The sequence below is a fragment of the Homo sapiens genome, chromosome 15, assembly GCF_000001405.40.
Source record: "Homo sapiens chromosome 15, GRCh38.p14 Primary Assembly".
NCBI classification, from domain to species: domain Eukaryota; kingdom Metazoa; phylum Chordata; class Mammalia; order Primates; family Hominidae; genus Homo; species Homo sapiens.
Window position 1 is genome coordinate 77,994,840 of NC_000015.10, and position 17,029 is coordinate 78,011,868.

General features: G+C 51.6%; 1 protein-coding gene across 16 annotated transcripts in view; it reads right to left on the minus strand.

The window, feature by feature from the left end:
• Window positions 1–145: 145 nt before the first annotated feature.
• Window positions 146–17,029, minus strand: part of TBC1D2B (TBC1 domain family member 2B) — an 82,727-nt gene continuing 65,843 nt past the window's right edge. For 8 of the 16 annotated variants that reach the window (XM_047432269.1, NM_001387143.1, XM_011521387.3 and 5 more), the window contains 4 exons: window positions 14,158–14,275; window positions 8,466–8,651; window positions 6,780–6,901; window positions 146–3,516 (listed from right to left, as the gene is read on the minus strand). In XM_047432269.1, coding sequence (XP_047288225.1) covers window positions 3,321–3,516; window positions 6,780–6,901; window positions 8,466–8,651; window positions 14,158–14,275 — 622 coding nt within the window. In that variant the 3' untranslated portion in view covers window positions 146–3,320. The other 8 variants (NM_001387142.1, NM_001387145.1, NM_001387144.1 and 5 more) reach the window with 6 other exon arrangements.

The window sequence follows — 17,029 nt, forward strand, 5'->3', positions numbered from 1 at the left end:
AAGGGCAGAGACACCCAGAAACGCCAGGCTGGAAGGTTGGAGAGCCCCTCCTCGCCCCCCGCAACACCAATAAGCCCTGCCCCACCCTCCAAGCCCTTGGGGTGAGCCCCATCACCAGTGACTATAACTGAATTTCAATGCAGAATATTATACAAATTAGTAGTTTATTTCTTCCTTTAGTATTACAGTTCCAAAACGTAACTTGAAGGTCAGCACAGGAGCTGCTGTGATATAAAAGGAGAGAGTCACCTGGCGCCCCCTGCAGTCCTCCAGTTGCCCAGCAGCAGTGGGACGTTCAGTGGCACACAGTGGGTCTCTGTATGGCCTCCCACCTGCAAGGACTTCCCCGGGCAGGCCCAGCTGCCCAGAAGCCCCGGAACACACAGGAAGACAACACTATAGGATGGCAGGTGGGGATCTGTGCAATACAAACATGTAGCTAGAAAACCCAACCGAGGATCTGTCTAGAATACTTCCGATATCAATATACCGTAGTTGAAACCAGAACCGTCTCCAGCTGTCAGCAGTCTTGGCGGCTACTGTACAGCTGTCAGCATGACTACAGGCAGCGCCCGAGGCTATCTGGGGTAAGAAGTGGGCCTGCACATCACATCGGTGAGTCAGTGAGAGTCAGGGCCAGAGGGAAAAGCAACTCGGAGGCTGAGGCTGGCACAGATACACACAAGGGAGTCACACACATAACATAATAACTTGTTATATAAAATAGATATGTGGAATCTAGAAACACCTTGAGAAAATAGCCTATAAAAATATAAACTGTAGTGAGAGTGTACAAAAGTATTAACAGAGGTTCAACCCATAAAAAACCCCATCCATTTAAAAGTTGGCAATTCCTAGCAGGTGTTGGGAGGGAGCTCCCCTCGGTCCTGGTGCGCACGTTTGGACAGGCCTTTGGGTTTCCCAGCTGGCAGGGTCCCCCTTGCAGGGGCCACGGGCTGGGTGTTGGGGTGAAGGTTCAGAGGAGGAACAGCAGCTTGGGGCAGCCCCTGTCAGAAGGGCCCCCTGCCATGGCAGCCAGTGGAGGCCAGGGACCTTCAGGGCACTGGAGGGGACAGAGCAGCTCTTTCCTCAGTGACCCGAGGGAGGGGAAGTGTTAGCGCAAAAGAGTGGGGCCCACAGTCCTGGAAGGAGGAGTTGGCTCCGTCCCGTTCCCAAACTTTAACCAGGCGGAGCCGCCCTCTCTTGCCTTCTGGACACGCATCACTTGATTCCAGGCAGGAGAACCTCTGAGAAAGTGTCCCCAGTCCCTTTCCTCCAGGAACTCTCCTGCTGTCGCACACACACACTGCCCGGCAGCTGCTGACAACTGCCTGGAAACACTAACATACCACCGTGGGTTGCAGCCACGACGGGCCCCTGGTCAGGTGCATCTCTCAGGGCAAACTGGACAACACGAGCCTGTCCCTAAAGGCAGCTCTTAGCCCCAGGACATGGCAGTGTGTGCTGGCATGTTCCAGGGGCCATTGGCTCGGAAAGTAAAACCTCAGGGCCCAGCCCCATTCCTGCTGCACCTCCTCAGCAGCCGCCCCCCAGGCTGACAGCTGTCGTTTCACGATGGGCTGAGGGGTGGGGGGGGTTCCAACACTTGATTCGAGCAGACTGCAACGCCCAGCTCACAGGACAACTGAAGGAGTCAGACCTCAAACTGCTGCTCTCAAAGACAAAGACAATGACAAAACCCATTTTTGATGCCTGAAAAGAGGCAAAGGCTTCTGGCTAAATATAGAGGCCAGCTCCGTCTACCCAGTGAAACATTAGTGGAGTTGGTTAAAGACACGAAGCCGGAGCTCACTCTAGCATGTGCTGAAACACCAACTTTGCCGTGGCATTGCCAAAAAGTTGACAGCAAAAAATAGGAAAAATACTTCTTAAAACTGCATTGCTTCAATTCTTAGTCTCAGTGTGTTCACAACAAAGGATGATTTCCAGTTTTTTTCGGGTAATATGAAACATTCCACTGAGATCATTTATCTTGTATTTTCATAACACTGTGCCAGAAAACATCCTCTCACATCTACGCATCAGGGATGGTCTAGAGCGATTAAGCAAAAACAAGCTCCTTGCTCAAAGCCTCTCCCCAGCCTTCAGAAAGGCAGTCCTCTGAGTTCCCAGAAACTGCTGTGTCAGAGGCAACAGTGCCCCTGCATCCTGGCAGAGAACAAGGATGTTCCAGGCAGTGGTGGGGTGGGCACACATCTGGGAGAGCTCACCCAAGCCTGCCCCAAGCAAAAAAGTTTCCCAGCCCCAGGCACTGGCAGCCGGCCTCCTGCACAACCCAGGCAGGTGGAGACACCAGGAGCACTGGCCATCCCCAAGGAGGCCATGGTTTTCAGCTGTCCAAGAGCGTTCACGCTGCGGCTGCACCACTGCCCTGCAAAGCACCCCCGAAAACATTCCTCCATCCCCTCAACCAAGGCCAGCCCAGGCGTGGGCCTGCTTTGCAATATGACGGTCCACTGTTTACTTGGAATCCCATCCCATCGTACTTGGTGAATGATTTCCACAAGTCAAGAAGGGCATTCCACAGAATCTCACAGAGCCATGCCTGGCACGGGGCAAGCTGGGGACAGAGCAGCCCAGTGATCTGCAAACACAGGCTGGCCATGAGAAGTGAGGGTGGGTGTCTGGGCAGCCAGGCCCTCCCCATGCAGGCTGGAAGACACTGATGGAAGGGTTGCGTGTGGAAGAGCAAAGGCTATTCTAGAAATGGGGCATGGCTGGCAGCTTAAAGCCACTGGTGGGAGGTTCACAGGCTTTCCTACAGTGGCCATTTCTGAACAAGGGATGTGCCTGCTTTTCTAAGGCAGCCCCTTTTCATACCAACCTTATGCCTGAGGCAGCAACCCTCTGGCCTACAGGTGCCTAAAGCACAGCTGGCATCCTTTATAGCACTGCCATTCAAAACCACACACCACTGCCCACTATGTACAGGAGAGAGAATATGGGGAGATGCCCAGCAAAGCAAGGTTTCAGAGGGTCAGAGCACCGACAGGCTGACGGAGGCTGGAAACAGGCTCTTGCAAATAGCCACTGGTAAGCCTGAGGATCCACCAACCAGGCAGAAAGCGTGACTGAGATACGTGTAACCAAAAGCATGGCACGGAAATGGTTGTAAACAGATTAGACCTCCCACCCCTGCCCCCCGCACAGTGGGAAATGAGGAAGGGCAGCCTGGCTTGGGACATCTGCCCAGCAGATCCCCAGAGGACACACACGTTACATTCTGGCTTTTAAGTGCACTTTCACCCTTTGGGCACACTTTGGTTGTGAAGGAAGGAAGAGCAGCATCCCGAGCCCACTCAGGTATCCTCCTCCTCGTCACTGACCAGCTCACCCTTGTCAGGGCTGGTGTCCCGCTCACGCAGGAAGTCCTCACGGATGGCCTCCAGCTCGGTCAGCTCCAGCCGGACTTTCTCCAAGTGGTAGGCGCGTCGGTTCCGGATCTGGCGTAGGGGGAAAGGGTTCAGGTCCCCAAAGGAGATACTGATCAGCTTCCTGGCAGGACGCAGGGGAGAGACAAGAGAATCAGCGGCGCTCCAGAGAGTGCTCACACACAGCCCTCACAGGCATAGCAGGTGGCCTGGGGCAGGGTGGGAAGAGCGCTGGCCAGGCTTGGGGCCTGATGTAGGGGATGAGGCCCACCTTCTGTAGAGAGGTGACAAAGCACAATGGCCCAGCCAGGGGCAGGCTCAGAATGACGACCTGGACTCCAGCTCTGCCACATGCTTGCTGTGTGACTGAAGTCACCCCCCTTTTCTGGCCTCTGATCTTCATCTGCACACTGGGGTAAGAGTAGTGCCACCTCCTAGGGTGTGGGATTACTCGTGTTCCCACACATAAGCCCTGAGAAGAGCTCCCGGCACTTGCATGGTGATGGCAGGTATGTCTTCATCCTTGGGCGGGCATGAGGCCTGGCACCGGGCACGAGTCCGGGACGTCTGTGTCCCAGGACTCATTGACTGGGAATGAACACAGGCCCAGGCAGTCCTGGCGATGACTGTCAGACCCAGTTGGCAATGTGACAAGTGTCCAGATGCAGTCTACAGAGAAATGTGCAGCTTGTGGGTTTCACATCCCCAGGTCAAGGCTCCAATTTTCAATAAAAATGTTAAGGTTATGATCCACTTGCTCCTAACCACTGGTCAGTGGCTTAATAAAAACAAGACCAAAAGCTGTCCTGAGGCCTGGCTATGGATTTGTAGCACTAATGGGTCAGCCACACTGGTCTCTGGGGATCACAAAATAGGCCAGTTCCTAGGGCCACCTTCTTCCCCTCTCTGGATTCTGCCAGGCCCCAAATGCTTTGTATCCACCAACATGGGCTCATGCGCTTCCCTGTCAACCAAAGGCCCAACAGACTCACCAGCCCCAGGAAAAGCTGTGATGAAACAGAAATGCCCCGAAGGACTTCCTGCCTGTCCCCATCAGAGCAGGCCATTTGCTCCTGCTGCCGTCGGCTGCGTGGGCTCCTTTTAACACAAGGCACACACGAGGGTGCAACCTTTTATGTTTCAAAACACCCACTACTACCTGGACATGCTTAACTCTCGTCCAGAGGCTTAAGGTCAGAAAGGCCAGCTTTATTTAAATTCTGAATTCCCCAGTGTGTGTTCTGGAACACGGGAGCACCAGAGAACAGAGAACGCCCAAGCACAGGGGTCCCCGCGTGTGGATTTCTCGGGTTCCGCCTCCTGCCTGGCTCTGCAGACCAGGCTGCCAGCCCCAGCAGGCGGGAGGAGGCTCCGTGTGAATGGGGCACAGGGTCCCCACCACCAGTCCTTTCTCCCCAACAGCTGTCAGCTCACAGCCCCCACAAACCCCAAACCTACGGCGCCCAACCCTCCTGTGCTGCAGAACACGAGCCCGAAGTATAATTCTTCATTTGTTCCTCAGTCAGGAGCTGACAGAGGCCCCTCGGCCCAGGCTGGCACCCGGGACGCCAGACCCCACCTCTGCCTCAGGCCTGGAAGGTTCCTCTGGGAAATGAGAAGGTGCCCCATGGTCAGCTAAATTTGGGAGACGATGCTCAGCGCCTTAAAAGGCTCCTAGAAGTCCTGCTGCAGAACATGGTTCAATCCTGTGTAACTCCCGTCTCCTGAATGCAGCTGACCACACAACTCCCTCCCTGTGTTTCTGAAGGCCGATCGCTGTGCTGCAGGACTGGCCTCCTTGCAACCACTAGTCTGGGGAGCTCATTAAAACACTGAGGCTCTAGCCCAGAGGCGGATTATGGGCCCTTGCAGTCTTGATAACAGCGGGGAGCCTGCCGCCGCCTTGGCACTCCTTAAAGCACCTGTTGGTGTGGCGACCCTGCTTTCTAAAGCAAGCTGCAGGGGAGACCGTACCGCGAGCCACTCAGAAGGAGGCGCTGCAGGACCATGCAAGGCCCAGCAGTGTGGGAGGGGCCAGGTTGGCCTGCGGTGCCAGGGAAGGGCGGGCACTCACCAGAGCCACGCCCACTCACCTCCGCTCCTCCTGGCAGCGCCTGGGACCCAGTACAGAACTGAGGGCAGCGGCGCTCCCAACACAGCCCTAGCTGTTGGCATGGGCGAGCTCACTCCCTGTCACTCTCGGCAATCCTGACCCAACACGAGATGAACAGAAACCCTCCAGGCTCACCGCAGGACTCAGAATCAAACTTTCCCCAGCAAATATGATTCCCATATCCCTCCTCATTTGGCAGAAATCAGGGCACTGTTGTTGGTGCTATTAGTAAGCCTGAAACTATTACAAACCCACTCCCCAATAAAAGACTCTAAAAATAGCGACGACCTCCAGGAAGCCTGGCATGGCCTCAGCCAGCACCTCAGCTCCCATTGTCCAAATCGGCTCTCAGGGTCAGAGCAGCCAACAGCTGCAGTCCAGGGGACATACAGACGAGGATGGCCCAGAACAGGCAATGACTGTGTGGTCAGGGAGGGTTCCCGAACACCTGGCCTCCCAGGCCAGAAACTCAGGGGTCCTCCAAGTCAAATTCCTCCCTCCCTCTCTTCAATCTACCCCCCTTCTCCATCTGTGGGACCACCTACCTCCAGGCCACCACCTCTCCCCCTAGAGCCCTCTAACAGCCACCAGTCCTGCCCCAATCTGACCTGTCTGTCTCTTGCCTAACCCTGCAGGACTTCCCAGCACTCAGGATGAAGCCTCAAGTCCTGAGAGAAGTCTGCAATCACCCTGACAGCCCAGCTCTGCTATGGCCCAGCCACACTGGCACCAGCCGGGCTGAGCTGCCTCCACACTTCCCCAAACACACGTGCCCCACAGCTCTGCGCCACCACTCCTGAAGGACCCCCTGTCCCCATACTGTTTCCTTGCTGCCCCTTGCCCAGCTTATTTGGCCTTTCTCCGGCCTGGGATCCCTCTACCACAGCATGGATCAAACGATGCGCAACAGTGTCCCCAGCAAGGTCTTCCAGGACAGGCCTTACTCTCCATCTGTCATCCTCAGTGCCCAGCACAGACCCTACCACAAAGCAGGTACTCAGTAAATGCTTTCTAGACAAATGAAACTATTGCTGTTCGTTGTTGGGATTTATGTTTGTAGGATAAAGGACAGAATCCTCATCTCAGTTCCTCCTAGGTAAGGCTACTTGGGGCTCACACCCCTTGCTCTCTTTTCCCTGGAAAGCAATGCCCTCTCCAACACTGTACACCGGGGATGGCTCTGAGTTGGAAGACAGCAAGGACAGGCTGCTCTCAAGGAGGCAGGGGTCAGGCTTCCTGCTCTCCTTGACATCTGAGAACTCCCCAGGACTCACCTAGCATCAAGGATAGTGCGAGTGAAGTAGCGGAGATACTTAAATATAGACATCGAATCTTGCAATTTCAAAATCTCCTCTTCCTTGTACTTAAAAAGTGCCAGAGCAAAACGGAAAATAACCTGTGGAATAAACAGGGAAATCTGTTAGTGGAAAAACCCTGTGGGTCCAGGCACAAGGCTGGACTCCAGGGGGGTGCTGGCCCTACTGGGGACAGGGGGACATGGCTTGCACGGTCCCCGCCCTGGGGAAAGACTATTGACCTGAGGGGCAATTTTCACTGGCTAGGCCAAGACTCCTTTATTACAGGAAAATAAACCCTGCTGGTTTTCAACAACACATCAGCCCAAACCAAAAATCTCCTTATAGGAGATCTTTGTGGAATCCTTTCATACTCAGAAAACACTTCTAGTCAATAAAGCATAAAGAACAAACATAAGGAATCATTTTAAAATAAAACCAAAATCAAGGTTTTCTGATTCTGAAACTCTTAGAAAGTCCCACCTACAGAGGCTGTTTCCATCTCAACTGGTGCACTTTTGAAGATAGCGAAGGAGTTTTTTTTAAATTTTATTTTTATTTTTGAGATACAGTCTTGCTCTGCCACCCAGGCTGGAATGCAGCAGTGCAATCTTGGCTCACTGCAACCTCTGCCTCCCAGGTTCAAGTGATTCTCCTGCCTCAGCCTCCTGAGTAGCTGGGACTACAGGCGCCCGCCACCACACCCAGCTATTTGTGTATTTTGAGTACAGATGGGGTTTCACCATGTTAGCCACGATGGTCTCCATCTCCTGACCTCATGATCCACCCACCTCGGCCTCCCAAAGTGCTAGGATTACAAGTGTCAGCCACTGTGCCTGGCCTTTCTTTTTTTTTTTTTTAATTTGTGTTTGGGGTACATTAGAGGTTAGAGGGAATGGACTCCTGGTAGTCTTGCAAGTTCAAGCAGCTTTGGAACAAACTGCTTTCCCCATATCTAAGGGCCTGTACTTTCTCTAATTTAGTTTGTTTTCTGGGTCTTGCTGTGTTGCCCAGGCTATATTTTAACTCCTCAGCTCAAATGATCCTCCTACCTCAGCCTCCCAAGTAGCTGAGACAATTGGCACATGCCACTGTGCCCGGCTAAGGTAAAGAATAAATTGAGAAGAGTAACTAGAAGACTAGGGAGGGGCCTCCACTCCATTACAAACACCTGTTTATACAATTAGGGTTTAATATGTAAATATATTCCTTATTCAAAAACTGATTTTTAAAAAACATACAACAGAGCGGGTGGGAGGCTCATGGGCAGTAAGGCTCTGAAGTTGGCTCCCCCAAGTTAGTCCCCCTCATTAGCCCCCCTAATCCCCTGCTTATTAGATCTCTGGGCCTCCATCTCCTCCTCCATATGATGGGGTAACACCACCAGCCATTTGACAGATGGTGAGGCTCAGGCTCAAACTGTAAGCCATAGCTCCCAGCGCCTATCACAGGGCTTGATGTGGGTTGAATGTTTCTGATACATGAACAAATGACTGTGGTTTCCTGATACCCTGGACCCAGATCTAGTGCAGGCCGTGCTGAGATCCCTTGGGCACCATGGTAACCCTCATAAGTTCCAGGTGAGCCAGCCGCTCTACCGCCACCAACGCTGCTGACGGTTGTCAAGTGTGTATATCTGAAAATAGCTGAGCTGAGCTAACTCACCTTTGGTCCTTCATAAAGGAAAGAGTCCCATATTTTAAAGAGGATGTCACTAACGACACTATCCACAAATACCACCAGAAACCAGTTGAAAGTGATGAGAGTGTAGTCGACTTTGTACTGTTCAAAGTGGCCATGCAACCGAGGCAGCTTCTCACTCATAAGGTCTCTGAACACCCGCTGGTCCACCTGGAGAGGGAACAAAGGGGAGAAGTGTATCAGGCCTGCCAGGTCACCGGGTAAGCAGACGAGCAGACGCGCAACCTGAGAGCCTGGGGGTGGAGCCCAAGTGACAGCAGCACAACTGTTCCAAATGCACCGTGGGGCCCATCACGGAGCCAGACTACTATGTTCCAGCAGCGCTGACCTCGTGCACTGCAGGTACACACCGAGTGTCCGCTGAACAGCATGCTTTCCACAGGGCATGGGAGTAGGGGAGTCTGTAACCTGAAACCAACTCCTGCACTCAAAATGCCCTGGGAAATAGGCCACTGCAAGCAGCAGGTAGGACAGTCAGCCTTGCCAATCCACAAGTAAATACGTGAGATGTTGACACAAAGGGCCACAAACTAGAATCCTGGGCAGATGGGGATTCTGCTTCCAAAAAGGAAGCAGCATCACCACATCCATTCAACAAACATTTGCTGGGCTGCATGTGCAGTGGGGGTGGCGAGGACTCCGGCGTCACATGAACCTGAGTCTGAATCTCAGCTCTACCACTTACTAGCTGGGTGGCTTTTAGCAAATTATGCTCTAAACGGCTCTGTGCCTCATCTGGAAAATAGTTAATTACCTCTCTCTTACTGGACTACTGTGAGGATTAAATGAGGCTTATATAAACTACCTGCGCACGACAGACGAGCAATACCTGGTTACTGCCACTCTGTGTCAGGCACGGGGCCAGTGCTGGGCAGAGCGTTGAATAAAGTTCAACCCTGACCTCAAGGAGTTAAAAGATGAGAAGGGAAGGCCAGACACGTGGACCATCCTAACCATGGCCAGGCCCTGGTAACGATGTGTTCATACAGCCCTGTGGAACCATGGACAGGTCCCCGCCAAGCACTGAGGAGAAACCGCTCCTACAGCTAGAGCTCAGGCTTCCAGGCAGGAGGGCTGGGAGGTGAGGCAGCACAGCCAGGCAGAAGCTGGCCACAGACACCCCTGCGTCACACTGAGGAGTCAAGACGCTATCCTGTCAGCCAGGGGCTTTCCTAGCCAGGGGCTTTCCTCACAAAAAAACATGCATCTTCAACCATCACCCACTCCACGTGAACCGGTATGCACGTGTACAAAACAGAAACAAATGTTTCACAAAACAATACTTAATCTCACACAGTGGACTACACTTTGATGCTTTTAATTCTAATCAATTGGACAATTGGATTTTATGGGAAAAAAATAAAAATAAAAACCTAGTACCAACCTACTAAACCAATTTCTCTATCCATAGTGTAAAAAACAACTATAGTCATCCCTTGGTGTATACACAAAAAGCTGGCCCTCCGTATAAGAGGGTTTCACATCCTGTGAATACTGTATTTTCAATCTGTGTGTAGTTGAAAAAATCCACATGTAAGTGGACCCATGCAGTTCAAACCCACGTTGTTCAAGGGTTAACTGTACATATTTTCCTATACTTCATGCCCAGCCAGGAGCTGCCTTTCAGGAGCTGTAAAGTGGCAAGGGAGATGGACGGCTCACTGTAAGACCAGCTAATGATGATGTAATTCATTCAGCCTGGAGTATCCAGCTGCAGACGTCCAAGAGGGAGGGGCATATCAGCTGGCCCTGACATGGGAGAAGATCCTTGTACACATCTCTTCTCCCAACTAGGAGGCAGACTGTGCCTCACTCTTAAGGCTGCTCGGGTGCTTGGCGGAGGGCTGGTGTGGAGCAGGCTGCCAGGAAACGCTTGCTCTGGCCTCTGTTCAAGCTCCCTCCTCCACTGAGCTCTGGAGGACATGGAATGACTGTGTCATTCATCTCTGTGTCCTCAGCACCTAGCAAGGTCCTGGCACAGAACATGCACTCAAAGCATGGAATGAATGGAAAAGCTGACAAGCATGTGGACTGCAGTAGCAGTGGGCACGGGGCTCGGGCACTTGGTTCTGGCAGGAGGCAGTTTGACAGTGATTGGCAAAGCCCAGTGCTCAGGGTTGACAGCACACTCAAAGCTATCCGCATTTTAAGAGCCACCTTACGCAATGGCCATCGATAAGTGGGAGGATAATTAAACACATTCTAGCACCCACCTGATGGAATATTAGGCCACCAAATAGGATGGGTACACAGTATAAAATGACATGGGAAAATGCTCATGCTATAATGTGAACAAGCCAGGATACACTGTGCTCTCAATTTGGATACCTATGTGAACTAGGGGGAGAAAAGCAAAAGGAAATACATCAAAATGCTAACCACGGTTCTCCAGTTGGTAGAATAACAGGCAATTTTCATTTTCTTCTTAACATCTTTCTATACTGCCTGACTTCTGTTTAGTGATCATCTATTACTTGTATAGTCAGGGGGGAAAAAGTCTCCTTAGATTTTACATTTATGTTTATGTGACAATGTGATGCAAATTTTATCTTAAATCCAGACATTTAAAATAGGTCTTCCCCTATAACAATACTACCAACTTTTATTGAGTTTTTACAATGTTCTAAGCATTACATTCAACTTTTTTTAATGCATCATCTCAATTCAACCTCAAAAGTCTATGTGAGGGGGGTATTACTCTCATCTTACATATGGGGAAACTGAGGCACAGAGATGTTAAATGATGTGTCCAAGCTCCACAGCTCACAGGAGGTAGGGCCTGGGTTGTGATCTACTACATGTGACCCTCCCCCCAAGTTCCTAACCAATGTGCTTGACCACACCTCAATGGAATTAAGAAAGATCAATGCTTCATTTTTCTTATTCTGAAACATTGAGTCATTTGATATTTTAAATTTGAGTCTTTGAAAGCTATTAGCTTTCAGGTGCCCATGAACACACAAAACTTTCTTTACTGACCCTCTAATCCCACCCGACTGACTGCTGCCTCTTCCTGTTGCTGTTCATTTCCTACACACCAACGCAACAGAACAATACATTTCTTGGGTAATTAGCAAGTGAAGCAATCACAGGGAGACCAGATGAGCTTCTCCTGGGATCCACTGACATCTGAGAAACTGGGACAGGGACCTGAAGGGGGCAGCTGTGGCGAAAGCCCACCCTCTGGGAAGGTGAGAGCTCCAGCTCTCTTGCCATCCTCCTGTGATGTTCTAGGAGGCCGTGGGCACAGACAGGCAAGTTTAGGCCCAGAGTTGCAGAGGCCTGAGTTCAAACCCCAGCTCAGCCCCTCATCGGTGGCACCTCAGGCAAATTGCTTATTAGTGTCTTCGGCTCCCAGTTTTCTCCCAAGTCAAATAGGGATACTGATGGCTCAAGCGTGCAGGCTCTGTGCAGTTGTACAGCTGCTGGCACGGGGCCAGGGCTCAGTAAATGCCAACTCTCTTTCCCTGGTCAAAGAGTAGCTCATGTAAGTTCAAACATTTACTGTGTGGGGTGCCAGGCATACAGGAAAAGGAAAAAGAAAGAAAAAGGAAAGACAGGGCCGTGGCCCTCAGGTACCACTGACTAGCTGGAGGACAAGCAGGCACACAAGGATGATCCAATCAGGTGGCCACTGTCCTGGAGGCCTGCACCCGAGCAGCGGGAACAGCAGCAGGGGCCCGTGCCTGCCTTGGGGCGGGAAGGACCACTCACAAAGGAGATGGCCTGTGTGCTAAGGCTGCACAGGAGCTTCCCAGGGAGATGAGCGATGGGATGTTGTTCCAGTAGAGGGATTATGTAGGAGAGTACCCAGAGGATGGGCATGCCCAGAGAACACACGCCCCATCAGCGGGCAGGAAGGAGGGCCCTGGCAGCGTTCGAAGGCATCTTTACCCTGAGGAGCCCCAGACAACAGCAGCAGAGGGATGAGACTGAATACCTGAGTGAGACAGAGGTTAAACTGGAGCTGTGGGTGAGTGGCAGCAGGAAGAAAGGAGAGAGGCAACTGCAGTGATGGAGACAGGCCGGTGGCCCCACTGTGGTGAAAGGGACAAAAAGGGGACACAGATGTAAGCTTCCAGGCAGGCGGCAGCACTAGAAATGGTGACGACAGGGATACAGGGGAAGGAGGCAGGAGTCCAGGATGGCTTGAGTTTCCAGCCTGGGGAGCTAGAGATGTGAGGAGCACAGGCGGGAACAGGAGGCAATAATGAGGACCCTCCCTCCAAAGGCAGAAATGCGAATGCAAAGAACACTTGCTCAGGGTCCAGCCAGGAAAACAGAAATCCCTCTAAATATGTGTCACAGAGTGAATGTCATCCAGGGGCTGGCCACACTGGTGAGAGAAAAGCTGAGAAGCCAAACAGCTGACAGTGAGGCAGCCCAGAGTTATAGCAAGGGCAGAAAGCCACCCTGCAGGGGAGCAATGAAGGGAGCCGGTGGGGTCAGCTGTTGGCACAGAGGACCCACCGGACAGGAGCTGGGCACAGAGGAGACAAAGCCACCTTCAGAGGCAGTGCCCGAGATGGGGAGAGGGAAAACCCCTTCAGTCCCTCCTGTCACCCTTCAGTCTCCTGCCAGCACCTCCCGCTGGCCTGCAGGGCCAGGCCTTGCAACACCAAGTGGTGCAGGAGAAGGGCAAGGAGAGGCTGTGAGCAGGCAGGCCAGGCGGGGGCACAGACCTGGAGAAGAGACACGAGACAGGGCAGGCACACACGGGGACAGCTGTGGCTAAGAGAGAAGCTGCCTGAGTCTGGGCCACATGCGAAGGGCCGGCTTACGGGGAAGCCAGTGCTGGCAGCAGCCCCAGCCCAGCCTAGGGATGATTCAAGGGCCAAGGATCTGGTCCAGGGCCAGGACTGTCCCAAGCAAAGGCAGAAACACTGGGCTCTCCCAGCCCTTATCACTCTGCCCTGGCCCCTGGCGTCAGACTCCAGGTGTGGATGGCATGAAATGCGCCACTCAGACTCCCACTGCAGGAGGTGACTGCAGGCCCCACTGCTGCCCCTCTGGTGCATCACCACGTTCATTCCCAGCAGCAGGGCATGGGTGCGGCAGCGGCAGGAATGCAGCCCATCTGTGGAGGCAGGTGCCTTGGTCACTGCCCTTGGCTTGAGGGCTCCCCACTGGCCCTGCCCAGACTTCCTCAGGACTGCATGGTGGTCACTGCACAGGGTCTGGGACTCTCCTCCCCATCCTCCTCCCTTCCTGGGGCTGGAACTTCTCTGTCCCTTGTCCTCCACAGGGGCTTCCCCCCGCCGAAGTCTCTGGTTTGTCTCATTCCAGCCTGACATTGCTTCTTGAGAGCCTGAGCTAACACACCAGTCACCCAAGCACACCTGGATTATGACTCAGCCCACTGGTAGGCCTGTGTCCGGGGAAGACAGTGCAGAGCAGTGAACACAATGTTAGGCCTGCAGGACGGGTCTGTCTCTGCTGGTTCGCAGGGGGCTGAATGAGCCCAACTCGGCCTCAGTCACAAACAGCAGGCCATGACTGGGGACAGCCTCTGAGATGTGGCCTGCTGTCTTCAGGAATCAGTCTCTGAAGTCACATACACAAAGCAACCCCTCACCCTGACCGCAGGTTTAATTCAGGTCACATTTCAGCTGCAATTCTAAAAGTGGTGACTAAAACACAGAATTTTCAGAACTACCTGGGATCCTAAAAGAGTCTTTGTATAATAGTCTCGAGGCATGAAAACTTCCACTATGGTAACGAGACACCAGAAAGCATCTTCTTGTTCCAGGTACAGGAGGGCCACTGCCACCAACCTACAAGCAAAGGGAGGACAAGATGAGAGCCCAGGCACAGACAGCTGCTACTACAGTCTCCACAGAGACCATCTGCTTTAAGCCACTTTTTCTCTCATGGCCAAAATTATTTCTAGTTCTCCAATAAAGAATAATAAGGACCTGGCTTAATGGCTCACGCCTATTATACTAGCACTCTGGGAGGCCAAGACAGGAAGATCACTTGAGGCTAGGAGTTTAAGACCAGCCTGGGCAACATAGCAAGACTCCATCTCTAAAAAAACAAAAAACCAAAAATCAGCCAGGAGTAGCGACGCACACCTGTAGTCCTAGCTACCCAGTAGGCTGAGGCAGGAGGATCACTTGAGCCCAGGAGGTGGAGGCTACAGTGAATGATAATCGCACTACTGCACTCCAGCCTGTGCAACAGAACAAGACCTTGTCTCATTAAAAAAAAAAAAGGAGGGGGTGCATTTCCTAAAATTTGAGAAGCAAAGCTACTTTTCCCCACTTTCATTTGGTTTTTGTTCAAAGATGAAATTGTTTCCCAATGATCAGCCAGCCTCATTAAAAAAAAGTTTTCATTATAAGATTTTTGCGGCTGGGCGCAATGGCTCACGCCTGTAATCCCAGCACTTTGGGAGGCCGAGGCGGGCAGATCACGAGGTCAGGAGATTGAGACCATCCTGGCTGACACGGTGAAACCCTGTCTCTACTAAAGATACAAAAAAATTAGCCAGGCGCGGTGGCGGGCGCCTGTAGTCCAAGCTACCTGGGAGGCTGAGGCAGGAGAATGGCGTGAACCCGGGAGGCAGAGCTTGCAGTGAGCCGAGATAGCTCCACTGCACTCCGGCCTGGGCGAGAGAGCCAGACTCCGTCTCAAAAAAAAAAAAAAAAAAAGATTTTTGCAAATGCAGCTGATTCTTTGAGTTCATCAAGAAGTTCCAAATAACCCTTTTATGCACAAAAATTCCAGATGTGAATGTAAGTAACAAAGAATACAGAATGGTTTAAAACAGCTTTCCCAACACCATCCTGCTTCCAGGCTGAAGGAATAAAATGGGCTGCAGATGAGGGCACCCCAAAGGAGCTAACAGCGCTGTGCCCACTGCATGCACAGCAGGGGAAGAGGACCATGTGTCTCACTTGCTTTGTTGTTCATAACGGAAACTGGGGTCAGCTATTTACATGCTGTCACTAATCAATAGCCCTGGTATGGCTCCAAGCGGGAATCTGGAGCAGCAGGATGGAAAGGAAGAGGTGAGAGAAAGGCCTCCCTCTACTCAGCTGAAATCCAAAACTTCTGCCCATCACACGAAGCTTATAAGCAACACTCATGGGAAAATCCCTGAAGCCATTTCTCAGAATATTTTTCTTAGATAAAACTATAATGAACTCATCTCAAATTAAATGGAAAAAAAGTCCAGGAAGGGGATGTCTCAAGTATGCAGGGATGGGATGGAAAGGAGAATGGTGACCACTGGCAGAGACAGAGGAGAGAAAAACAAGACACGCAAGCAGAGACACCAAATTGAGAGACAGGACTCGATGGCGCCAGGAGAAGGGGTAGAGAGTCTGAAAGCGACAGAGCCTTTGAGGACATCACTTAAATTCACCAATATTCCAGATGACAGGTCTGAATCACCATCATCTAGACAAGGCTACAGTTGTCCTTCTAAAGTTCTGGGTGCTCAGAAGCCATGAACATGTACCAAATACTGTGAAGAAAAAAATCCCAAAGAATTACAATTCAGAGGTTTTAACGGTGGTGAGGGCGGAAGTGTAGACAGAAAGCTTCAATTATCTGGAAGTGTCATTTATGTAGGAAAAAACTGATTCCATGACAATGCCAGATAAATGGAGCATTACTGTACCCCAAACAGGCATACTCAAGTCCTCACCAGGACCCTGAGTTTCACGGGTTTCCAGCTTCCAGGAATTTTTAGATTGAGTATGCAATGTGAATGGTGGCTTTAAGCAAAACAAAACTGCTTTATTAGGCAGGATCCTACTTACAGGCTTTTTAAAAGTGGAGACTGTCTAGGAGTAGCTATAGTCCCTTTCACCTTCTGAGGGCACATAGAGAGGCTGCCCTATCCTCACCACCACAGAGACAATGACTTACTGAAAACCATTTGGTTTCAGGTCTTAACCAAATAACATTCCAGCTTAAAATCCTTTCTTCCTGCAGTACTCTCATTTCAGACACAAATAGAAAACCCTTACCTGGAGGTCAATACCTGGCATGGAGCAGGAGCAAAAAAGGCCTGTGGGCAGCCATAACAAACGTCAGCACTCAGAACTCCAGCTCATGCATGGCTTACAGAATTCCTAAGGTACACATGCAGAACTTTTTCATTCTTACTTTATCCATATCTTTTTTTTTTTTTTTTTTGAGACAGGGTCTCACTGTGTTGCCCAGGCTGGAGTGTAGTGGTGTGATCACAGCTCACCGCAGCCTCAACCTCCTGGGCTCAAGCGATCCTCCCACCTCAACCTCCCAAGTAGCTGGGATTAGAGGCACATGCCACCATGCCCAGCTAATTTTTTGGTTTTTTTTTTTTTTTTTTTTTTAGACAGAGTCTCGCTCTGTTGTTCAGGCTGGAGTGCAGTGGTGCAATGCTGGCTCACTGCAACATCTGCCTCCCGGGTTCAAGTGATTCTCTTACCTCAGCCTCCCGAGTAGCTGGGATTACAGGCATGTGCCACCGTCTGGCAAATTTTTGTATTTTTAGTAGAGACAGGGTCTCACCATATTGGCCAGGCTGGTCTTGA